The following is a 26,308-nucleotide window of genomic DNA, read 5'->3' as shown; positions in this document are numbered from 1 at the left end:
ACAGGTCACAAAGACCTTGCTGATAAAACAGGTTGTGGTAAAGAAGTCAACCAGAACCCACCAAAACCAAGATGGCAACCAGATTGACCTCTGGTTGTCCTCACTTCTCATTATGCGCTAATTATAATGAATTAGCGTGCTAAAAGACACTCCCATCAGAGCCATGACAGTTTACAGATGCCATACCAACATCCAGAAGTCACCCTATATGGTCTAAAAAGGGGGAGGAACCCTAAGCTCTGGGAACCACCCACCCCTTTCCTGGAAAACTCATGAATAATCCACCCTTTGTTTAGCATATAATCAAGAAGTAACAGTAAGTATAAGCAGCTGAGTGGCCCATGCCTCTGCCAGTACAGTAGCCATTCTTTTATTCCTTTGCTTTCTTAACAAACTTGCTTTCCCTTTATAAAAACAGACAAAAAATCCCCCCCAAATCATTTTTTCTATATAGTAGCAAAATTAGAAAATGAAAAATTTAAAGTACCATTTATAATAGCATCAAAACCATCAAATATCTATCAATAAATTTTAAAAAAGATAAGCAAGTCCTCTGCATGAAAAACTATAAAACATTACTGAAAAAGATTAAGAAGACCTAAGTAAGTGAAAAGTGAGATAATATGCAATAATCGTGCTCATGGATTGAAAGACACATATTATCAAGGCATCAATCTTGTCAAATTGACCTATGGGTTCAATGTAATTCCAATCAAAATCTCAGTGTGTGATTTTTTTTTTTTTTTGGAGTTTGACAAGCAGATTCTAACATGTATATGAAAATGCAGAGGGAGAAGACCAGCACAATCTTGACAAATAAGAGTAAAGTTGGAGGATTACAGTAGAAGATATCAAGACTTATTATAAAGACATAGAACACAAAAAGAAAGTAAGATAAATAGATCAACAGAAAAGCATACAGAATCTACAAACAGATATGAACAGTCACTTGGCTATGACAAGGGTCCCACTACAAGATAGTGGGGAAAGGATGGACTTTTCAAGAAATAGTTTGTGGTTACACAAGTATATATATGGTGGAAGAAAATAAACCTTGATCCCTGCCTCACACAATATTAAATTCCAAATGGATCATGGACTTAAATATGAAAGGTTAATAATAAAATTAAAGGTTAATAACAAAATATTATTAAAGGTTAATAATAATAAAATTTCTAAAAGAAAAATTTTTCATAAAAGAATATTTTTATGACCTTCAAAAAATTTTTAAGCAGGGCGTAAAAATCACTAATCACAAAAGAATAGATAGACATGCTGACACCATTAAAATTAAGAACTTCTGTTCATCATAAGACACCACTAAAAATGTAACATATTAAAGTATGTGAGATGAACAGTGCTGGTTGGGACATTTATTGCACTAAATGTTTATTTAGATAAGAGAAAATATTTCAAATCAATAATGTAAGTTTCTATCTTAGAAACTTAGAAGAAGAAAAAATAAATCTAAAGCAAACGGGAGGTAAGAGTTAATAAGGATAAAAGCAGGTCAAGGAAATTAAAAATTTTAGGAGTTGAAAAATAAATGAAACAAAAATATCATTTTTCCAAAGAAAAAAATCAATGATTAATTAAGCTCCAGCAAGACTTGTAAAATTAAAAAAAGATATGAATCATCAATATCAGGAATTAAATAGGAGTTATCACTATGGATCCTAAAACTATTAAAAGGATATAAGAGAATAAGAGAATATTACAAGCATCTTTCTGTTTATATATTCAAGAACTTGGTAAAAATAAACTACATGCCTACTTAAAAAAAAGAAAAAAAATGAGAAAGACACCTTTAGGAGATTGGAAAAGCAGGCCACAGACTGGGAGAAGATATTTTCAATACATATTTAACAAAGGACTTATAACCAGAATATGTAAAAGATCTCCTTAAACAGCAACAAAAAGATAGCTCAACTCAATTTTTTTTAAATGGACCAAAAACTTGAACAGACACTTAATACAAAAAATGATTTTCAAATGTTCAAATAAGCATATGAAAAGATACTCAGCGACATTACTTAGAGGTAGATTCAAATTATAGCCTCAATGAGGCTATAATCTGGCTAAAATTTTAAAATCACTTAATGCCAGTACTGGTGAGAATAAGGAGGAACTGGAGCATCCATGCAATGCTGATGGGAACATCACTTGTAAAGATCACCTTGGAAGACTTTGTTTACATAAACATGGGTAAACATACTAGACCCATGACATGGACCAGCATGTCCACAGCAGATTTATTCATAATGACCCCAAACTGGGAACAATCCATCAACAGGAAAATATATAAACATAATTGTAATGTCTTCATACATTGTCAGACATAAAAAAAAAACTACTGCTACATGCAGCAACAAGGACGAATCTCTTAGATATGATGTCGAACAAAAGATGCCAGCCCTGAAAGACTACATACCACATGATTCCATTTACACAAAGTTCAAGAATAAGCAAATCTCATATACCATAATAGAAGGTTGGTGAGAGAGATGTCTTGGACGGAGCACAAGGAAATCTTTTGAAATGTAGGGAATTGTATGTTGATTTGGGTCGTGGTTGTACTTTTTAGAAAAGGTGATAACTTTTGTAAAAGTTCAAGTCACACGTTTTATATTTGTGCATGTTGCTCTACACATGTTATATATCACTAAAAAATAAGGCCCAGTAAAGTGGCCCATGTCTGTAATCCCTTTGGATTTACTTTGGGAGGCTATGGCAGGATGATTGCTTGAGCCCAGGAGTTTGAGACCTGCTTGGGCAACATTGCAACACTCCATCTCTACAAAATTTAAACATTAGCTGGGCATGGTGGTACGTGCCTGTGGTCAAGTTACTGGTGAGGCTGAGACGGGAGGATCGCTTGTACCAAGAGGCTGAGTCTGCAGTGAGCCATTTTCATGCCACTGCACTCTAGCCTGGGCAACAGAGTGAGACCCTGTCTCAAAAATAAATAAATTTATTTATTTATTTATAAAAAGCTTCTAGCTTATTAAGATGCAGAAATCAGTTTGAGAATTACCGCATTTAAGATAAGTACTAATACTTAGAAAACCACAGTATTAATAAATATGAAATTTAATTAATCCATTAAAATAATGTATTGATGACTTGGGCTGTCTTTATACATATCAGCATTTTATTATTTCAAAATTCTGTCTTTTTTTGGTGTGTCTCGCCCTTATTTTTAGGCTATCATCCTGTCTATTTCTGATAATGATGATCTTTTAAAGATTCAGGTCCCAGCATTTTGTGCCGCATTAAAAATAACAACAGAACAGCAGATAACTGAGTTGGAAGTATATGAAGGCATAAGAAAAGAATGATGACAGTGGGCTTCTTGCTGTGGACAGTTAAGCCTTACTATGTCTTGTTAAAACAGCATTCCCCAAAATGCAGAGGACATGTCACAAGAGTGTCGCAGCACTCAGTTTGAAGGGGCTTATATGGGCCAAATCTGGGACAATTTGAACACAAAAACAATGAAGTCCACTAGTGAATAATAAACCATTATATATGGGTACTCATTAGTTTTGATAATAAATGGATAGATTAAAACTGGTTTAAAAAACATAAATAATATAATAAATTCAGAATAGGGGAAGGCTCTTGGTTTTGTTTGTTTGTTTTTGTTTTTGAGATGGAGTTTCACTCTTGTCGCCCAGGCTGGAGTGCAGTGGCGTGATCTCGGCTCACTGCAACTTCCGCCTCCCAGGTTCAAGGGGATTCTCCTGCCTCAGCCCACTTGAGTAGCCGGGACTACAAGCGCACACCATGACGTCTGGCTAATTTTTGTATTTTTGGTAGAGACAGGGTTTCACCATGTTGGCCAGGCTGGTCTCCAACTCCTGACCTCAAGTGATCAGCCTGCCTCGGCCTCCCAAAGTGCTAGGATTACAGGAGTGAGCCACCATGCCCAGCCTGGCTCCTGCTTATACTAGAATGCTGAGAGCTGGCTCGTCAACGTGGAGGAAGTGCCAGAAGTTGAAAAATCATCAGTTTGCAGCCATCATAGTAAAGATCAAGCACGAACTGATAAGGGATGCTAACTCTAGGGGAAAATTTTTAATGATGGGTGGGATATTTTCATGGCCTTAAAGTTTCCCCCCATACACTTACTAGTTTCAAACTAGAAAGGGGACAGCACCTTCACGAGCAATTAAAATTATCATCACCATCGAGGGACGAGTGGACATTGGATGCCTCCAGAAGTGATGTCTAGGGAAATATATAACCACCTTTGGAGCACCCCAGACTAGAATGCATAAACATAAGTCTAATCATGAGAAAATGTTAGACAAAATTAAAGGGAAAGGAAACTATATTTTTCACAAATGCCAGTGTTTTTAAAGACAAATTAAGGGTGTGAAATTATTCCAGATTAAAGAAGGCAAAAGAAGACAGCCCCTAGACCAGTACTGGATTCTAACCTTAGACTGAATTGACCCTAGACTAGTTCCTGTCCTGGAGGAGGAAAGTGCTTTAAAGGACATTTTTGGGTCAACTGACAAAATTGAAATACAAGGAGCAGATTAAATTAAAGTATCAGTGTGAAATTTATTTCAGGGGATAGATGCGCTGTGGTTATGGAAGACACTATTCCCACTGTTAAGAAATGGGCCAGGCATGGTGACTCATGCCTATAATCTCAGCATTTTGAGGGAGGATCACTTTAGGCCAGGAGTTTGAGACCAGCCTGTACAACATAATGAAACTTTGTTTCTATAAAAAATTTTAAAAATTAGCTGGGCTTGGTGGCACACGCCTGTAGTCCCAGCTACTTAGGAAACTGAGGCAAGAGGATCGCTTGAGCCCAGAACTTTGAGGCTGCAGTGAGCCATCATCATACCACTGCATTCCAGCCTGAGTGACAGAGAGAGACCCTGTCTCTTAAAAAAAAAAAAGAAAGAAAGAAAGAAATACACAGTAAAGTATTAGGAATAAAGGATTTTGATGGTTCAGAAAAAATCAGATGTATATATATATATAAAGCCATATATAAAATCACATATAAAAATACACACACGCAATCATACATATATATTTCCTCCCTCATCTCTCTGGACACATATGTGTGCATGCGTGTGTGTGTGTGTGTGTGTGTATAAAACAATATCTCCTCTGTATATATACCATCATGTGCCACATAATGGCATTTTGGTCAATGATGGATCACATATACAATGGTGGTCCTATAACTATACTATAGTTTTACAGTACCTTTTCTATATTTAGATACACAAATAGCATTGTGCTGCAGTTGTCTAAGCTATTCAATACAAAAACGTGCTGTGCAAGTTAGTAGCCTAGAGCAATAGGCTGTACCATATAGCCTAGGTGTGTAGTAGTCTATATCATCTAGGTTTGTGTAAGTACACTGTGATGTTCATACAATGACAAAATTGCCTAATGACACATTTTTCAGAATATATCCCCATTGTTAAGAAACCTGTGAATGTGTGTGTATATATGGGTAAGGTATATATATGTATATGTATATACATATACATATATACACACACGGTGTAAAAATGAGTGTATATGTGTGTATATATTTTATGTGCGTATGTACACACAGATACGCACACAGACACACTCCTCTCTAGACGAATAGATCAATAGAGACAAGAGAGAGCAAATGGAGTAAAACGTTATTAATAGGTGAATCCACACTTGATCTTAGCCAAAAGGCCAAGAAGCAATTTTTTAATAGGTGAATCTGAGAAGAGTACATATGTATTCTTTGTACTATATCGTTTTTGCAAATTTTTGTATTTTTAAATTATTATTTTTTAAGTTAAAAAGTGATTGTAAAAAAACATGTTTATTCTTTTCTATTTAGGAGAGTTTCCAAAGGTTAGAGATGATGCCCCATCCTTACTTTTAAGTTTTTCTGAAATATTATCATTGTCAGATAGTCCCACAGGCTGTGGACAAATATTGATATTAATATTTGCCCATAGATATTGCCCACAGATTGATAATACTGTGGACAGTATTGATATTAAGGGTAATATGTCCTAGACTTACTGGCAGTCTTTGAATTTTTGTATTGATTCTGGTATATTATAGTCAGGCAGATTTAGAATCTGGGTTGTATAGATAAATTATATCTCACCATTTTGCACATCTAACATGAGTTAGAAATATAAGAACTCTTACACCTCACAATTAAACCCAGTACAACATCACTAATTATAGTGGCAATATTGAAAATCATTCATGAAAAGCTACAAAATGTAAATGATGGGGATGAATATCATTAACTATAATAACCCAACTTTCAGTAATAACTTGCTAATCTTAAATAGGTTTCACAAAAATATACCAAAAAGTTTTTTGGACTTTTTATTACAACTAAATTTAGTACATAGATCCTGGAACATTTTTCTTTTTCTATGCATATGAATACTTTGCTAGAAAACAAACCATCTGAGGAAATGTTATTAGTACATCTCAGTTCTCGCTGCTTAAACTTGTCATTAATGGAGCTGTCCACTACACAAAGTTCTGATATTTGTTCCCTTTTGTATGTGGCTGATTCTGTGGGCTACACAGGGAGAGGAGGTGGCTGCCTTGTTTCTACTATTGCAGCTCAGGGTTCCAGCTCTACTGTGTTCCTCTGGGCCCCAACTTAGGTCTTTAATGTTGCACAGCTTCAGGGATACATCATTCACTTCATAGGAAGAATCAAGTCCACAACTTGTACAGCCATACCTTGAAGGATGTAGCTCCCAAAGAGATGGAAGCCAGCCCTGTTTCCTGTAACAATATGGGTCTAATATTGACTTTGCTCTAACTCTTCTTTAAAGTGTGAATACCTAGCTTTTCTTATTGCCTGTATATACATGAATGAAAGACAATTCAATAGCTACCCTAACATTGGTATGGTGACTTCTCTCCCTGAGAGCCTACATAATTATGCAATATTGTGCCTAATTTTGAAACCACTTGATGATGTGAGACATATTAACAAAAACTGTTTAGGTGTATGAGCTATGCTCCCTCTTTCTTTTGAAATTGTCCTGCCCCTGTAAAAACGTTTGTATTGTGGTAGCCAGCTTCCAAAATGGCCCTTGATGAACCCCGACTCTTGGCACTCATGCCCTTGTGTAGTCACTTCCTACACTGAATTAGGCTTGGTCTCTGTGACCACAAGAATATGCTATAAGTGATAGTATATCACTTCTGAGGTTAGGTCATAAAATGTCTTGTGGCTTCTGCCTTGCTTCCTCTTTGGGATCTTGCTTTGGGGAAGGTCAGTTGCAACGTGATGGAGACACACCAGCAGCCTATGGAGAGGCTCATGTAGCAAGGCATCAAAGCCTCCTGCTAGATGTCATGGGCATGAGCCACCTTGAAAGCCTCAGTTAAATTTTCAGCTAACTACAGCCCCAGCCAACCTCGTGACTGTCACCTCAGACCCTAAACCCCAACAGCCCAGCTAAGACTCTCCTTAATTCTTGACCCACAGAAACTGTCAGATAGTGTGTTTGTTGTTTTAAGTCACTAAATTTTGGGGTAATTTGATACGCAGCAATAGAAAAGTAATAACTGTGGGTTCACAATGGACTCAGAGCATCAATTGTTAATGCCTAATACTATCTATGTCTATCAGAAAACTGAAATCTTAACCAGTTTGATTGAACTATTAGCAAATTTTAAGACAGAAAACAAAAATTAAATGACAGCACAAATCTTTCCAGTGGAAAACCTTTCTTTTCCTTCTCCCCATCTTAACATATCTAAACTCCGCCCATCCTCTGTGGCTGAAATGTTTTTATTCCTGTCTCCAGTACCACCATGAGACTACAGTAACTTTCTCTTCCTTTGTCTCTGCTCACCTTGTGGTACTTTATAATTTTCACTTGTATGAATATATTAACAAAATAATGTGGATATTATTTTTCTTCCAGACAATAGGAAGTAATGGTTCACAGTACAATCTTTGAGGTTAGCCTTCCTGAGTTTGTGTCCAAATGACATACTTAATAGTTACATGATTTCATGCAGGTCACTTACCTCTTACACATCTATAAGATGGGACTAACATAGTACCCACAAGTTGGGGCCATTACAAGGATTCAGGCATATAATTCAAGCAGTATTTGGCAAAGGAAATTCCTGATAAACATTTATTATGTTAAGACTATTATTACTAGCGAGCTCCAAGCAAGACTGTGGCTGAGAAATTAAACCTTGGCATAATTCCCAAGCTTATTAGACCTTGTAAAAAAGTTAGTGAGCTCTCCAAGCTTTGGTTTCCTTATATGTAAACTAGAAATAAAATAAACGCTCTCACTGGGCCTTGGGAGGATAAAACATTATGTAATAAATGCAAAACACCTAACATAGAGCCTGACAAATGGTAGGCGGGAAACAAATGTTCGTTGCTTCCTTTCCTCCCAGTTTCTTAAAGTAGACACTGTGCAGAGGGGCTGGGGGCTGGCTGCTGAATCACGCTAGATGCAGAAAAAGAAAATGTGCTTCAGGCTTTGTATGTTGAACTGAGTTGGGCAGAGACCCAAGCAGATTTCTATTATTTGAATGTTGAGCGTTCCTCGTTTAGATATAGAAGTAACTTTTCCAATCTTACTTGATAGTACAGGTAACATTAAGACTCATATATTTTGATTTTATATCTTCCACGTGGCTGATTTTCAATATAGTTGCTGTAATTAATGGCATCTTTTGAAATCTAAAGGTTCTAGTATTTCTAATTCATATTCAGTGTACACACAAGTGATATATACTTGGACATATCTTTGCGTGGCAAACTCTTGAGCTTGGTTACTTGCAAAATAACTTCAGAGGCAAAGGCTGCAGGGGCTTTAATCCTATTTGAGCCCCATATACAAGAAGACAACAGGATGTAGAGATATGGGCACAGATGAGACATTGAGAAACTGGGTTCTGGCTCCTGCTGTGCTACCATCTACCTCCATCTGGTTTAGCTAAGCTATTTCTCTCCAGAAAGGCAGGATGTTGTAGGGGAAAGCTGTGAAGCCAGAAAGACTCATGTTTGAATCCTGGCTTCACCTCTTCATGGTTGTGTGGTATTCGGTCAGTTTTTGATCATTCTGAGGTTTAGTTTCTTATAAATTGGGGGCAATAATATCTAACTCATAGGTTTGTAGTTTCAAATGAAACAAATATGCATAGTTTCTGTTATATGTTAGGTATTTAATAAACAGTGTTTGCTTTTCCTGTCTTCCCTAAGCCTCAGTTTTACCACCTGTAAAATGAGCTAATTAAATTAAGTACCTTCCAGCTCTGATGTCCTATTATTGTAGTAATTACACGGTTAAATGAAACATTACAAATATCCTGTTAAATGAAACATTGGGGCATTTGCTGGTGATGCATAATAAAATGCATCTATCTACAATAAGGAGAAGAAATATTGTGTTTGTGGAGGGGAAAGAACATAAAAATTTCTAAATGTATGAGTCTAAGAAGGAAGAACCACCCAATATAGATTACATAGATATTTTATTTGCATTCTGTTGTGTCTACAGATGGGCTGATGACAGTGATTAGATCACGAGGTATTAGTCAGAGACTCTGTCTAGTAAATAATGGCAGAACAGATCCAGGGACATCAACCCAGCTGGCAAAGTCACCCGTTGGGAAAAAGCAAAGCATGGTTGACCTTTCCATCAGAGCCCAAACTGTGTCTGATTATTTCATAATTCAGTTAGAATGAACTACTTCAAGGTAAAAAGAATTATTTTATTGTTTAAATTCAGACATAGAAAAATTAAAAGCAATAAATCTGAGGAGCTTGATTTAAGTTAGAAAAATCTGTGTGTGCCATGGAATACTACACAGCCATAAAAAGGAATGATATCATGTCCTTTGCAGGGACATGGATGAAGCTGGAAGCCATCATCCTCAGCAAACTAACACAAGAACAGAAAACCAAACACTGTACGTTCTTACTCATGAGTGAGAGTTGAACAATGAGAACACGTGGACACAGGGAGGGGAACAACACACACCAGGGCCTGTTTTGGGGTGAGGGGTGAGGGAAGGGAACTTAGAGGATGGGTCAATAGGTGCAGCAAACCGCCATGACACACGTATACCTATGTAACAAACCTGCACGTTCTGCACATGTACCCCATTTTTTAGAAGAACTAAAGAAAAATAAATAAATAATGAAAATGTCTTAAACAGCACCCCCAAAAAAAATCTGTGTGTGCCCATGTGTGTAAAAAGAATATAAGAATATTCACCAGGTTGTAAAGAATACCTATTTTTAGATGATGGGGCTAGTTGAGTTTTGTTTTGTTGTTTGCCTATATATTTTAAATTTTTCTATAATTACTATATGTTGCATTGGTAGTGAGAGGGAAAAACAAGTTATGTGTATCGTAAGACACTCCCGTGGAGACTCGGGCAGGTTTCCCTCCTCCCCCACCTCCCAGGAACTCCAAGCAAATCACATATTCTGCAACTCAGTATAAGGGTCAGAGGCCCCATCATTCCATTTTGATAGTTTCCCAAATAAAAAAAAAAAAAAAGGTAAAACTTTCCTTTAAGAAGTTGAACCTGAGTATAATGACATAAAATGGCTCCATTGCCACATTTGTATCGCACAACATTGAGACATTCTACCTTTGAATGTGTGGCGACATGTGAGCATCTGTCCATCCCCACATGCCCGTACATGGATGTCTTTGCTCGTATTTCCATGGTCGCCAAGATAACATAGGACCACCAGTTGCAGTGGGAAGAATCCAAAAGCTCAAGATTATAATTCTGGCTCCATTACTAGTAGCTGTGACCTTGGGAAGTCACTTGATTATTAGAAACATAGATTACTTCATCTCTAAAATGGGGTCAATATCATGTGCCCAATAAATTTCCTTTTTATAGATAAAATGAGATAATAAATACAAAGCCCTTGGCACATAGTCTGAGTCTGCTTACTCTCATTTTCTTTTGCAATTTCAGTGTACATGTCCAGATTATTAAGCTAGCATCAGATATAAGGCTAATGTAAAAATATCTCTTGCAGTGTGATGTTTGGAATGTGGTCTAGCTTTTCAGAGACAAGAATTCAATTGGGCTAAGCCAAGTAGTTTCTTCTCTGCCTGTCACCTGTCAAATTTAGTCACCAAACAGTGCATAATCAACTAAATGAAACAGAATATATTACTGCATGGGTTTTAAAAAGGTAATATGGCCGGGCATGGTGGCTCACACCTGTAATCCCAGCACTTTGGGAAGCCAAGGCGGGTGGATCACGAGGTCAGGAGTTCAAGACCAGCCTGGCCAACATGGTGAAACCCCATCTCTACTGAAAATACAAAAATTAGCCAGGCATGGTGGCGGGCACCTGTAATCCCAGCTACTCAGGAGGCTGAGGCAGGAGAATTGCTTGAACCCAGGAGGCAGAGGTTGCAGTGAGACAATATCGTGCCACTGCACTCCAGCCTGGGCAACAGAGCAAGACTCCATCTCAAATAAATAAATAAATAAATAAATAAATAAATAAATAAATAAATAAAAAAGGTAATATTCTGCATAATATTCCATGGTGTATATGTACCACAGCCATAAGAAAGAGCAAGATCATGTCCTTTGCAAGGACATAGATGGAGCTAGAGGCCATTATCCTTACCAAACTAATGCAGCAACAAATACCAAATGTTCTCACTTATAAGTGGGAGCTAAATGATGAGAACACATGGGCACATAAAGGGGAACAACACACACTGGGGCCTATTGGAGGCCGGAGGGTGGGAGGAGGGAGAGGGTCAGGAAAAATAACAAATGGGTACTAGGCTTAATACCTGGGTAATGAAATAATCTGTACAACAAACCCTCATGACACAAGTTTACCTATGTAACAAACCTGCACATGTATCCCTGAACTTAAAATAAATGTTTTTAAAAAGGAAGGTCTATTTTTAACCAGCTCTAACTGAATTCCCTTTTTCCTCTTCCTTTGCAGCATTTTAGAACAAGCTATAGTTATATACAATGATTGAGCTGCATTGAGGTTTTTTTTTTTTTTAAATCACGTGTGTTTTTTTAAATGACCTTATAAGTGTTAACTGAGAATTTTGCTTATTATAAAAATACAAGCCAGAATTTGCAATAATCTTAGTGACTTCAAACATTTGGCTCATGTAAATATTTCAAATAGAGTATTAATTGTAAGTACTGGTGCTAGGAAGAAAATTTTGTATTTATAGAAGAAACTTTTCATTTAGAAAATATGTTTTTATAAACAATCTCCCAATCTTCTAAATAATGTGAAAGGAAAATAAAAGGCCCAGTAGAACCACATATTCAGAGGCCAATGTAAAACATGTTAGTGAAATTATTTTAGGAGTTACCAAGGAATATAGAATATTTTGGGTGGTTTTCCAAGATCTCCATACCAAGCTTTAGATCCATGGAACTTATTCCATACTGATAATCTAGGCTTGGCTGTTCCATAGGATCTCCAAACTCAATATGCTTTAAATGGAGTTTCTTTTTCCTACCTTCATCTTGGTCATCCTCCTGTATTCTCCCTCTCAGGGAAGGGTTGCATCATTCACCGAGCAGGCCCAAATACAACATGTGGGAAGCATTCAAAGAACCTCTCTCTCACTCTCTGTCTACCTACTTTGTCACCGCATAATCAGGAAAAAAATCTTCTTAATATTTCTAGAATCCTCTCCCCTTTTGAATTCTCTCAGTCAGTTCCCTCTTTAGGCTTTCTTCTTGTTTGAGTCACTGCAATAGCCTCCTGATGCCTCTCCTTGCCTCTGGTCTTCCTCCCCAGTGTGTCCTGTATGTTAATGATCTCTATAAAAGCAGACCTGATAACATCTCCTCTGTATTCGCTGCTTTAGTGGATTCAGTATCAGCTTTGGGATTCCTTGGTCTGGCATGGCACAGCCTCACGTGCCATGACCCCTGCCTGCTGTTCTAGTCTTCTCTTACGCCATTCTCCACCTCTACAGTATAACCTGTCAGCCTAGGCAGAGTCTAACACGTGCAGTTCTCCAGATGGATCACCCTCTTCCCATGCCTGTTCATGCCTTGTCACAGGCCACTTCACACAGCCCAGAGTATTCTTTTTTATCCTCCCTCAAATGCAAGTGAATTGTCATCTCACCTTGAAGCCAACTTAGAAACAAAGCTGCATCGATGATAAACTGTAGAGTTTGCTCTGATTTCAGAGGAAATCAATACAGTTTAGCTAATGTTACCCAGAGGCAGAATGATACAGAGGATACTTTTGGAATTTGTTAGTAATTTTATTTTAAAATCAAAGTTGTGCTGCTTGTTCTTGTTCTTGTGTTTTAAGGCTGTTTCGTGTCTCCAAAGGGCTTAGAAATTTGAATCGGAAAGAAATGGCATCAGAGAAAAGAAGTGATGGGGCGGGTGGGGGTCTCTCTTGGGAAGCAGAAGCCCTGCCTATTTCCTCTGAGGCTTGACAAAATTAAAGCATAATTAACATAAGAACGGATACATTCATTAAACATGTATCAGGTGCTTGACGTCTTGCTTCGTGCTTTATATTTGTGTGTTTCTAAACTTTAGTCATTCCTATATGACTTTTTATGTATTTTGCTGTAGCTGAGTGCCATCTAGCCTATTATTTACTTAATATTACTCCTTAAATGGACTTAATCAGCCTATTTTTCTTGTACTGCTTGCTCTAAGCAGTGGTCTGTAAGTGTGCAGTGCTGGCTATATATTCTTATATTTTAATTAGTTTTTCTATTTATGTTTTTCTAAAACACCATAAAATAAATACATGATTATTATGAAAGAGTTACATATTACCTGAAAATTATATATCATACCACAGTTTGTGAAACTATGGTTCATTTAATCCTCAAAATAACCTGTTGGGTTAAGAATTCTTATTACTGTCATTTGCATTCAAAAGGGAAAGGTGAGGCAGAGAGAGATTAAATAACTTGCCTAAAGTTACAAGCTAGGAAGTGAAAATCATCCTTTGAACTCAGAGCTGTGCAATTCTAAAGCTCAAGTCCTAAACACTATGATATTTTTAAGCTAATATGGGAAACTATCTTATTCATACCCCCAGTTTTATAAATATAAATATAAATATAACCTTATAAAATTCCAAAGGTACGTGAAAGAAATTAAAAGTAAATACAAAAAAATTAAATAGTTGTGTAGGGTTGATTTTATTCTTCTTGATTTTTTTAAAGACAGAATCTCGCTCCATTGCCCAGGCTGGTGCAGTGGCATGATCACAGCTCACTACAACCTGGAAGTCCAGGGTTCAAGCAATCCGCCCGCCTCAGCCTCCTGAGTAGCTGGGACTACAGGTGTCCACTACCATGCCTAGCTAATTAAAAATATATATATTTTTTGTAGAGATGGCATCTTGTTATTTTGCCCAGGCTAGTCTCTAACTCCTGGCCTCAAACCATCCACCAGCCTCGGCCTCCCAAAGTGCTGGAATTACAGGTGTGAGCCACTGTGCCTGGCCCTCTCATTTTTTTTCCCCTTTTGGCCAAAGGCATTAACACTCCCCTTGCTTTGCTTTTATGATTGAAAAAGGATATATAGATCTTGAAGATAACTTTGTTGAGTCCTAGTATTTCAGAAGTCCAATTTAAGACAAATATTCATTCCATGGTTTTGCATAAGTGTGTATGTCCAACTGCTTACTGAGAAATTCTTAAAAATATTAAAAATGATATTGGCGTGGGCTGATTTTGAAGTGTTAGGCTCCCTATCCTTTCTTCTGCTAGCACAGGCACAAAGGGTGGTACCAACATTTTTGAGAAAACAGATTTGTTTGGGCAAATGAGGAGTGAGAATGATTTCCCTAGCACCTGGTGAATTGTTTATGCTAACTGGGTCATGGCTGGCGCTGGGTGAGTGTGGGCTGCCTCTCATGTGTGGTATGTGAGAGCAGGAATGATTAATTGATTGAAATTAGTTCATTGCATTTTCACATCATTTTCTTCTTCTCTGGCTCTCGTTCTCTCATTTTCTCTCCCTCTTCCTCTCATCCCCATGCCCTACTTTATGTATGAGTCCTGGATCACAATACATGGCAAAGCAGATCCTTGCTAGGGGCAAAGGCACTAAGAGCATTGAAAGGCTGTGTACAGTTAAACTGTGAGCACCAAGAATGAGACTTTGCCTACGGAGAATTGTCCTGTTCCCAGGGCACACTCCAGAACAGGAGGGTTGGATTCAATGGTCATCTATGTATCTGTTGGAGTTGACAGGTTGGCTAGCTCCACGATACTTTTTCTCTCGATCTGCCTTCACTGTCTTTTTCACCCATCATGTTCCCTGTATTAAACACAGGTTTGGAAAGCCTGGGTGTGAGCAATTAGAGGTCTGAAATGGAATGAGTGGGCAGTTAGGAGGGTAGGCATGGTAGGTAGTTTGTCAGTTGTGTGTGAAGTGCCATATACTGCTTCCTGACTAGGGTGATGGAGAAAAACAATAACAACAACAAATAAAAGCAAAAACAAAATAAAACAACAAGTATTTGTTGAGGGTGATGCCTCAAGCACCAAGACTGGAAACAATAAAAAATAAATTCTCATCTGAAGCACTTCTCAGAGACAAAGGTCTGGAAAACAGTATGATTACATATCAACTATTTGGATAGCAAACCAACAAAAATACAGGATATTACCTGGCAGGACTCTGAGGGGCAGGTGGGAGGACATTAGAAGGGAGAATGGAAAAAGTTATAACCTAGTTGTTTAATCGTGTCCAGATGAGGATTGGGTTGACTTGCAAGCACTGTTCCTGCCCCAGTCCTTCTGAAGCAAATCAGACCTGTAGGTCCAGATATGAGCCATATGTAAGGTCATGACATGAAGGGCTCAGGAGACAGGCATGGAGGAAGAAGACAACCTGATTTCCACTGTGCAAGACTCCTAAAACACCATGGCCAGGCTTCCAGTGAGTGGTTCTCAACGTGTGTGTTTCCAGTGTGTGGTTTTAGGTGGGTGTCTACACCCGCCTTCCTTCGAGTCTGGTTAGAAGCGTGAGTGGGATGGTAACTAGTTTGAGGATTAATCAGCCAAAAAGTATAAAAACAGGACAGTAAACATCTAAGAAGGAAGGGAAAAGGGGATCTCAAGGTGCAGCTCAGAGCTGGCTTTCTGGACATGTTCAGAGCAGCTTTTAAACTCAGCTCAATTAAGCTCACCGTAGTAAGAGTTGGGTGTTTGCCTATTCCATAATTCTGCTTTTAGGCAGAATGAAAACTCCATCATCCCAGACTATTCTATATCAAAAAGCCCTTTTCAGAAGAATACTACTCAGGGATCCCTGGAAGTCTATTTTAAAAGATTGATTTTTTTCAATAATAGACCTAAATTTCCCTGCTGTATATTCTTACTTTTGTTTAATTTCTTCTTATATGAGATACAGCAGAGTTGATGACTTGCTTCCATTGCCTATATCTCTATGTATTTGAATATTATTTTTGCATGTCCTTCCCTTCAGTCTTATGCAGGCTCCATTTTCAACTAAAGATTTTAATTCTTTAAAAGTGTTAGGAGGTTCTATTTTCTAAATCTTGAATAATCACACCCTTTCCTGGAGTCTAAAATGTATCTTTATACTATGTACCCATAAAAATGTTAAAAATATAAAAATTTTTTTAAAAATTCTTTTTATAGTGTAGATTTAAGCATTCTCACCCCATCAGTTCAATAGAGACATTTAATAAATGTTAGTGCTTCTACTGTATAAGAAGGATGATATTAAGCACCAAGAAGATGCTATTTAAGGAGATCACTGTGATTGAGGTAAGTCACAGACACTTAAGTAATCGTAAAACAAGAGTATCAATAACTAATCAATAACAATAGACAAGGTACTAGACACTTTATAGGCATACCTCACTTAATTCCCAAAGTCTCCTGCGGATTCAGAGCTAGCATTATATCTATTTTGATGAGGAATCTGAGGTTTAAAGAAGTAAAGCCATTTATATGAGCTCATGCATCTAGCAGGTGGTGGAGGCAGAATCATAGATGATGACAATGGCTGTAGTGTAGGCGTGAACAGCTGTAGTATAGGCAATGGGAGGAAGGCCTGGGAAAGTTAAGCAAAGCTTCACAGGGGAGGTGACAATGGGGCTGGGTCTCCCTGTAAGCACAGCAAAGGAAATAGTATGAGCATGTTTTGTGTTTGTTACTACTGTTCCTGATTTTGAACTAATGGAGTGCTACCAAATGTCTTTGTCTCTTGGGGCCATGTTTGAAGTCCTAGAGGTTTAGAGTCAGGTTTAGAGTATATTTAACTCAAAGCTGAAGACTCAAAAGTCAGCTGCTCTGACCGATTTCACAGAGTGGGCAAAGAGTGGAGGTGGGTGGAGGCGTGAGGGGAGAGACGGGGTTTGGATGAATTCCTCTGTATTTCCAAAAACAACTTAAAGAGACTCTTAGCTGCTCACTGTGGCATTCATCAGTTGTCAAAACTGGCATTTCCCTTTTTTGAACAAGACAATGTAGATGACAGAAAAGGTGCATTATGACAAGTAACAGTGACGACTGAGCCTGGTTCTAATGCCGAGTGTTATTTTAAATGATAAAAGAGGGGAAATCATTAGCAGGAGTCACTAGGATTGCCTAGTGACTTTTGTCATTTGGCTGCCTTTTAATGTATTTTCCCTTTAGAAGGTAATTTGAATGTCCGAGTATATTGATGGTTTTTGAGAAAAGAAACCTCACACAGTGGACAGGGTATGGATGTGATAAAATGATATCTGGTTCTGTCTCTGCTGTCCTCTTTTAAGCTGTGTGATTTGAGTTCCCAGCAGAATGACTCTGAGCCACAGCTTGACCATCCCTGGAAGTGTGGTTTGGTCAGGGAAGTTACCTTTGCTGATCTGCGGGGTTGATTTGATCAGTCTAACTAGATGAGAGGTTGCCTCTGCCTGGCAAGCAGCATGAGACAGCTTAAACAAAATAGCTTGGGCTTTGGAGATGGATATGTTTGAATGAAAACTCTGACTCTGCTGTTGTCTAAATGTACAGCCCTTTCAAGATACTTCACCTCATCAGTCTTCGGTTTTCTAGTCTGCAACATGAGCATAGGATTCCCGCTTCCCAAAGTTCCTTTGAGGGTTAACAGATACAATGAATATACAAGGGGCAGCCCTTGATACAAAGTCATTTTTATTTTTATTTTTATATATTTATTTATTTTTTGAGATGGAGTCTCGCTCTGTCACCCAGGCTGGAGTGCAATGGTGCGATCTCGGTTCACTGCAACCTCTGCCTCCTGGGTCCAAGTGATTCTCCTGCCTCAGTCTCCTGAGTAGCTGGGATTACAGGTGCCCACCACCACACCCAGCTAACTTTCGTATTTTTAGTAGGGACAGGTTTCACCATGTTGGCTAGATTGGTCTCGAACTCCTGACCTCAGGCGATCTGCCTGCCTTGGCCTCCCAAAGTGCTGGGATTACAGGTGTGAGCCACTGCGCCAGCCCATAGTGCTTTTTAAAAGTCCATTTGCATCTTCCCCATGGTTCAAATTCATTTAAAGTGGAAGACCTAGATAGAGAAAGTTATTCGGGGAAGAATAGCTGCATGATGCTGAAACCTTTTACTATGAAACAAAGGTCAGTAGTTGTCAGCCCTGGCTCCACATTTGAATCTCGTGGGGGCAGTTTAAAAGATTACCGTGTGTGGGGCTTATCCCCAGAGATTCTGATTTAATTGGTCCATAGTGGACTCTAGCATTTAGGTTGTGAAATCTCCCAGGTGTGGCCTATAATCCCAGCATTTTGGGAGGCTGAGGTGGGAGGACTGCTTGAGGCCAGGAGTTTAAGACCAGCCTGGGAAACATAGCAAGATTCTGTCTGTAAAACTTAAGAAATTAGCCAGGCATGGTGGCATGTGCCTACAGGTACTTGGGAGAATGAGGCTGGAGGATTGCTTGAGCCCAGGCGTTTGAGGCTGCAGTGAGCTATGATCCTGTCACTGTACTTTAGCCTGAGATGACAGAGCCAGACCCCTCTCTCTCTCTCAAAAAAAAAAAAAAAAAGAAAAGGCCAAAACAAGGATTCCAGGTGGTGTTTGTAATGTGCACTGAATTCAACTGTTGCTTCTCAAACTTTAATATAAATTACCTGGAGATTTTGTTAAAATGCAGATTCTGATTCTCTAGGTCTAGGGTGGGGCCTGAGATGCTACATTCCTAACAAGCCCCAGACGAATGAATGAAGCTGGTGCTGTCAGTCTGGGATCACACTCTGGGTAGCAAGTGACTGACGATCCATAATGGTGGTTCTCAAGCTCCAGTATTCATCATAAAAACCCATGGGCTAGTTGAAAAAATGGCACTGGAGCCTGGGGCTGGCCCTCCCAGGGTCTGTTTCTCTTGGCTTAGGAAGAGACCTAAGACAGTCCCTGGCCTATAATGTCCATTTTAACCTAAAAATCTCATGATGTTAATTTTGTGATTTTATAATATGTCTTCTCTTCAAGTTCAATTGTTCACTACAAAATTACAGAGTCTGAAGTTGAGTGTGTGGGGTAGCATTGTCAGAAACCTGAAACACAGATGAGCTCAAATTATGTGATGCCAAGACATGATATTTGAAGCCATGTGTATCTCTAACCTCTGGAGTTCTCCTTTTCAGTTAAAGGGGACTTCCGCAGAACTCCCTTCGTGTTAGGATTTACCATTGGCAAACGACTCACTAGTTAATCAAGAGAGCCTCCTTCACTGACAGGAGGCAAACAGGAGGACCCTGTACATTTTCTGCTCTCTGCAACACATCATACCTTCTAAAGCAGAATCATGAGAGAGGCAGCTGATCTCCCCCACCTTGAGGTCCAACCAGGGGAAAATGGAGGTGGGAGAAGATAACAGGTTCTTTATTCAGAAGAATAGATCAGGCACCTTTGAAAATCTCAGGGAATTCCAAAAGAATTTTTCTCATGATAAATTGCCTTTTTCCTTCTTTTTCTTCTCACCCTCCTGGATTCCTCTTGCTTTAACTAGCTAAAACGTCCTCTATTCAAGGGAAGGCTATTGCCACTTTCCAAGAAAAATCTAAAAGAAACAACTCTGTGTGGATCAAAAACATAATTCTGGCATTGTTGCTTTGGATAAAGATTTTGCACATGACTAATACAGAAGGTGTTATCTTCCTGGAACTTTATGAGTTTGTAAATAAATTGATATGAGGCTGTCATGTGGGAAATGAGAGAGGGGAACTCAGATTTTCTTGCTTTTCCCTTTAAAAACATTTACATCTGTAAGAACACTTGATCAGTCTATAGAAATATCTGCATGACAGTGAGAATAGACTACTCAAAAATGCAATAATCACACAACAGTTTAGCCAACCAAGCCTTAGGTCACCCAAGTTTTATATACTTAACCCCATACTGTACTTTCAAGTTGGCCTTCTTTTTAGAAGAAGTAATCAAATTGGGGCTACTTGGCCTTACTAATATCCTCTGCACTGGCTGGACTGGCCAAATAGAGAACTGCCATGTGGTGGAGTGATTCAGCAATAGCATGAGACCCTAATTGTCTCAAATGTGTTTCTCAAGAGCTGGCCGCCAGCTTGCCCTCCTTCACTGGTCCTCGGAGCCTTGCCGTTGGTTCGATACAAGCTTGAATCCGGCCAATGTGTGCATCTGGTTTGGATGGGAAGGGTGCCGGCCATGGTACTCAGGCCTTCACCCATTCACTGTTCCTTTATTAGGCCTAAGGGGTGCTGGTTGTCCAGGACAGACTGTGGAATCTGTGCAAAGGGGAGGGAAGCTACAGTGGAGGAACCCATGCAATGCAGTGCCAAGCCCCAAGTAATGGTAAAAGCAGAACTTGAGAAAGGAGCCTCCCAAGGTGATAGGTCCTGTGTGCTGGGGATCTAGGGAAGGTGTTGGAGGGAGAGGGACTCTCATCTTTAAAGTGAAATGAAGGACAAGACAGATGGAGAGCAGCAAGATGAGCTATTTTTCAGTTATGCCCTGAGTTGGGTTTTGACAGGACAAGAAATGAATCACTGCATTTTTAAATGTATTTAAAATTTCTATTTTTTGTGGTTGTTGCTAGAAATAGGTTTAACTTTTTAACTTTTATCAGGCCACATTTCTTGTTTGCAAGGCAGTGGCTTCATTGTGAAGTTTTTTTTTTTGACAGAATCTCACTCTGTCACCCAGGCTAGAGTGCAGTGGTGCCACCCCCACTCACTGCAACCTCCGCCTCCCAGGTTCAAGCGATTCTCCTACCTTAGCCTCCCGAGTAGCTGGGATTACAGGCATGCCACTGCGCCTGGCTAATTTTTGTATTTTTAGTAGAGACAGGGTTTCACCATGTTGGTCAGGCTGGTCTCGAACTCCTGACCTCCAGTGATCCACCCGCCTCGGCTTCCCAAAGTGTTGGGATTACAGGCGTGAGCCACTGTGCCAGGCCCATTATGAAGTTTTAAACAGAAGAGGATGGGCTTTTGCTGGGATTTTTACTTTATTGATTTGCTCGTGTGTAGCATTTCTTATGTGGCAGACACTGTTTTAAGCCCTTTAAAATCTTACCTCATTAATGCTCTTAACAACCTGTGAATTAGGAACTATTACTGTTTGCATTTTGCAGAGGAGCCTGCAACCACTATGTCATCCTGCCTCTAGTGTTGAGTACAATGTTCCTGTTGTGAGGTGGAAGAGGAGAAAACGGGATTAGGTGGACTGGTTCGTAAATACTGTCCCTAGACTGATGAACTGGCTAGGTAGCCATCCCTGGAGCTCTTGCTTAAAATGCAAATTCACAGGCCTTACACCAGGATATCTGGTTCAGGAAGACTGGGGGTTTTGAAACACTGACCTAGACAATGTGTGCGGGAACCCCCGCCCCTCCTGCAAATCCAGGAATCCTTGATTGAAACATCATCTGATTACTCTAATACGAACATGACTCCAGGGAGCAACAGTAGCTTATGCTGCCACCTCCCATGCATTTTCTAGTCCTTCCAGCTCCGGTGTCTAAACCACAGTCACTGATGGTGACAATTCTGACCACTCCACCCCCAGCTCCATCTGCTGAAAACCAGAAGGCTGCCTTGAGTCCTCCCGAGCCTCCCACACACTGCCTGCTTTCCTTCCGTAAGATCTTGGAGCCCACGGTCTTCTTAAAGGCTTAAAGCATCCCCACAGCAAGACAAAATGGGCATCTTTATTCTCTATAATTAACTGCTGCCCCCCTTTCTGTTTTGCCAACAGCTATGCGGTTCAGCGGGATGACCCCGCTACGGAGCATTATTGTCTCATTCCAGTCGAATGGACCAATCACATAGCAATGTGTGACCTTGAGACTGGAGAAGGAATTGAGCCTAACTTCATCCCCCACCCCCTTCCAACCTCCATTCTACCTCTACTTCCAGCATTTTCTTACTTGCAGACCCAGAAGAGGTTGGAGGTCCTGGCCAGTCTCTCACTCTTTTCCTTCTTCACTCACATTTTTATGTGTCTTTAAGTGGCTGGGAACAGCCATGTTGACTCCATACACCCAGAAGTTTGAGGAGAGTTTGCTATTACATCACTTCTGCTAATTTCAGCTCTGCTGTTGAGCACACAGACCTCAGCAAATCAACCAGACCATTTCCAACCCCTCTTGACTTTAAGAAGACTGGGTCATGCTCTGAGAAATGAAAGCAGAGAAGGAGATGGCTTGCAAGCCCCCTGAGGTTACCACGATAAGTTGGCTTGAGAGGGAGGTAAAAGCAATTCAGAGGACCACTTGGGAAAGCCCAGACAGGATATTATCAGTGGCGTGTGTAAAGTTCCCATCACCATCTAAAGTGAAAGATGCCAGAATTATAAAAACTGACTGCATTATCTTCTCAGCTCTGCTTTGTGACTTCTAAGAATTCAACTGCTTTTCTATTTTAAAATAGGGACATTGTCCTCCTTCTCAATGCATCACCTGTATCATTTGGGACATGCCCATCATCAGGTTGCTTTGACTGAACACCTTAAACATTTCATGGAAAACAGAAAATATGTGAAAAAAAAAATCTCCTCCTAGTCACGAGATCCCATATAACACTCCAGCTTCTTCTTTAATGTGGTGGAAAAACATTCTAAATACCCCAACAGAAGGGCAAGAAAACTGGAACCTAACTGACCATCTTGAAACATGTAATAAAAACGGACACATCAACCACACTTCCCAAGAGGCTTGCTCCCTGAATGTACACTAGTAATTATCTGAGGCGGTAACTGAATTCAGCTAAAATAGAGAAGGCAGCTATAGAGAAGCTCAGCGCTTCTCTCAAGAGCCCCTAATCCTGCTGGATTCCAGTCCACTGGGTCATGATGCCCTAAGATTTCAAGAGCTGTGGCTGCAAACTGGAAATTCTCCAAGGGGAAGAGCATTCTTGATTCTTTTTGGACATAAGTGTTGGACACAGGTGGTAGGAAATCATTTCTAACATAGCTTTCTGAGGGGCACTTACACCAAAAGTTGGGCATTTTTTTAACCACATCCAAGAAGTGTGGATTTATTTATTCTATTATATACCTGCCTCAATTCCAGCAGCAGTTTGGTAGAGGTTATCAACTTAGAAATACCGGTTATTAAACTTTCAGAGCAAGGCTTTAACAGCTACAGCCTACATGGCTGTTCATATAAAACCGACGTGCAAATAAGAGGAATTTCTTTTTCTTATTTTATTACCTTGAGCTCCTTGACTGTAGAAGAATCTTTGAGCTGACTCAACATCCAAGAGTCTGTGAGCAGACTCTACATCCAGAAAATAATCCATTTTGGGATAATCCATCCTTGATGTTCCAAACACAGAGTTTTGAGAGAAAACACTGGAACACCTATAAAGAGGAAAAAAAAATCCACAATATTTTAGACGTCAAGTATAAAGTGTATATATAGATGTACTTTAAAATGTTTGAATAAGAATATCCCATTATAATATTCTACTACTTGATTGACATTTGCAATTCTAAAGCCACCCCCCAGCATAGCTTTCCTACCGTGTGAGAAAATGCCGCATTTAGCCAACATTCATTAAAAGTAATATATTCTACTCAGGAAAAACAGATGATCTGATCTAAAGAGAGATAACATACCAGCCTTTCCTTGCTTTATATTCTCTGGAACATATACTGTTAAATTCACATGCTATCAGTTTTCAAAAGGTCTATTTGATAAATAGCGTCATTAAGTGTCAGCCGTTGTGAGTGTTGATCCTCAGCTCATCCTGGGACTTTCGGATTCCCCTGGAGCAGGGAAAATTGCCTGGGAATCCGAGCCTCCACTCATAGATGCCGTGCGTTTATGACACACACTGACATATTTGCTGTACAAATGCTTTGAATTCCTTCCTTTCCGGCGATTCCCTTCAGCACATTTTATAAAGTGCTAGAGGATCGTCACCTGCCTGTGCCTGGCAGGGGCTGATTTTTGAGAAACAATTGTGGTTTGTAGAGCAGCAAGAATGATTGCAGCATTACAGTGATCCCTATATTATCATACACTAGCCTGTCACAAAGCTAATATACTTCCCCAGAAAACATTCAGCCTGTTGGGTTCTTTTTTCAAGCCTATGTAGCCTTTCCCTGATACTCACACAAATGAATTATCTCTATTTCTGCAGAATATTTTTTTGGAAAGAATTAACAAGACAAAGTCATTAAAACCAAGCTTGGAAGTCTAATCCAATTGGTTTCTCTTTCTAACAGTATGTATTTTAATTTAAGAAACCAAGTCCGGTAAGACAAAACTTTTAAAAATACCCAAAGGTACCCCAATAGCAAATATACTTACTGCAAAAAATAAAAATCAAAGGCTATCTGTCAGCGGTAAAACAAGAGCCGTTCCAGCCAGAGTGTCTTTGATCTTGCTAAATATTCCCGGTGAAAGTAAACGATTTTGATTGTTTGATTAGAACAGTGATGAATAATGCATACAGTCCACTGGACTTCCTTTATCAGATAAAATGGCCAGAGCACGTTACCTTAGCAACGGAAGGTGACGCCAGCCTCAGCCTCTGCACCCTCCCCTGCGAAGGGAGAAAATTACCAGTTTCCCGTGTAAAACTTTGGCAGAAAATCATCAAATCCACATGCATACATCATGCAGGGCTATTCCCCAGCCCCCTATCTCTTAGGCAGAGAAGTGCCATAGTCATTAAAAAAAAAACAAAACAGATTTATGTCTTCATTGTTTATTTTCATAATCCCAAATCTTAGTTTGATTTGCAGCTACAAAAGAATAGAATATGAAATGATTAAAAATTTAATATATAGAAAAGTTGTCTAGAAATTTTTGTGGGGGCACCAGTTATTACCCTAATGCTGGCCTAAGAGTGGCAGGGAATGGGGGAGTTTAGGGAAAGGCCATTTTAGCTTAACATACGTTAGACATTCCCCTGTTATAATTAATACACAGAACAGCCACCGGCATCTAGGCTGAAAATAACTCTTCCCTTCTGCAAATCAGTCACTGGAAGAAGCTTAAAAAGCTGTCTGAAATTTCCCAGATTCTGAAAGACATATTATAGCATAGATTTTGTGGGAGATCCCCACTCCCCCCACAACCCCCATCCCCGGCAAAGGAAAATTAGCCAAAAAGATATTTGAAAGGAAGAGTCTGGAAGTTAGCGGATACTCACCGGCACTTGTTGACCCCTTTCAACAGGACACGGTAGAGTACAAAACAAAGCAGTGCGACGCTTCTGAGCCCGCAAGCACAAATGAACAGCTTCTAATTTTCCCTTCAATCTCGCTTCAAGAGCACTGAGCAGAGGGAAGTGATGGATTTGCCCATTTATACTGTGATGAAATGCAACCCTTAAGAAGAGATCTGAGTGGAGCTGCTCTTTAGAACACATTAGACTGCTAATTTAAGAAAATTGAAAGGTTTTGTTTTACTGTCTTTTATGTGTTCTTCTCTGCTACCCCCTCAATTTAATTTGCATTTAAAATTATTCTCATGTCTCCTCAGCTCTCCAAGGTGTGGAGTACTTTCTAATCATGAAGGCTGCTCCAGTAGGGTTTGGTGCAACACCACTTTTATGCTGAGCTGCAAAACAAGGCAGGTAGTCATAATTGTGAGCTGTTTTCTGGAGCGAAATACAGAGGGCACGTTTGATGTCACCCCTTCCCTCTTGCCTGGCTTTCTTCCTTTCCTTGCTTCTGATTGCCTGGTCAAATATCCAGCGCAGATCATGCCAGTCTGCCTAAATGCATTTCTCTCTGTCTGAATGTAACAAAATAATACCAACAACAAAAATAAACTTTGGCTAGTATCTCAAGTTATTCTGGTTTAATATTCTTCCTACCAAACCTCAGTAATGACTTTT

At 39.4% G+C, this 26,308-nt stretch overlaps 1 protein-coding gene, 1 long non-coding RNA gene and 1 pseudogene across 15 annotated transcripts in view; 1 reads left to right on the top strand and 2 right to left on the bottom strand.

The window, feature by feature from the left end:
• The window catches only part of PHACTR1 (phosphatase and actin regulator 1), a 571,071-nt gene extending 545,323 nt beyond the window's left edge, over nt 1–25,748 (bottom strand). For 3 of the 13 annotated variants that reach the window (XM_005248934.4, NM_030948.6, XM_017010459.3), the window contains exons 1-3: nt 25,619–25,748; nt 24,772–25,006; nt 23,668–23,816 (exon numbers count right to left, since the gene is read on the bottom strand). In XM_005248934.4, the coding sequence (XP_005248991.1) occupies nt 23,668–23,770 (103 nt within the window). In that variant the 5' untranslated portion in view covers nt 23,771–23,816; nt 24,772–25,006; nt 25,619–25,748. Of the gene's footprint in view, nt 1–23,667; nt 23,817–24,074; nt 24,223–24,771; nt 25,007–25,618 lie in introns of those variants that run through there. The other 10 variants (XM_047418373.1, NM_001242648.4, NM_001374582.1 and 7 more) reach the window with 5 other exon arrangements.
• Nucleotides 1–26,308, top strand: part of LOC107984015 (uncharacterized) — a 49,066-nt gene that overhangs the window by 1,768 nt on the left and 20,990 nt on the right. The gene's annotated exons all lie outside the window — the stretch shown is intronic.
• Nucleotides 5,566–5,715, bottom strand: LOC124901503 (uncharacterized; annotated as a pseudogene).

This window comes from Homo sapiens, chromosome 6, assembly GCF_000001405.40.
Source record: "Homo sapiens chromosome 6, GRCh38.p14 Primary Assembly".
NCBI lineage: Eukaryota > Metazoa > Chordata > Mammalia > Primates > Hominidae > Homo > Homo sapiens.
Note: the sequence above shows the minus strand (reverse complement) of the source record. Positions and strands in the feature narration are given on the sequence as shown.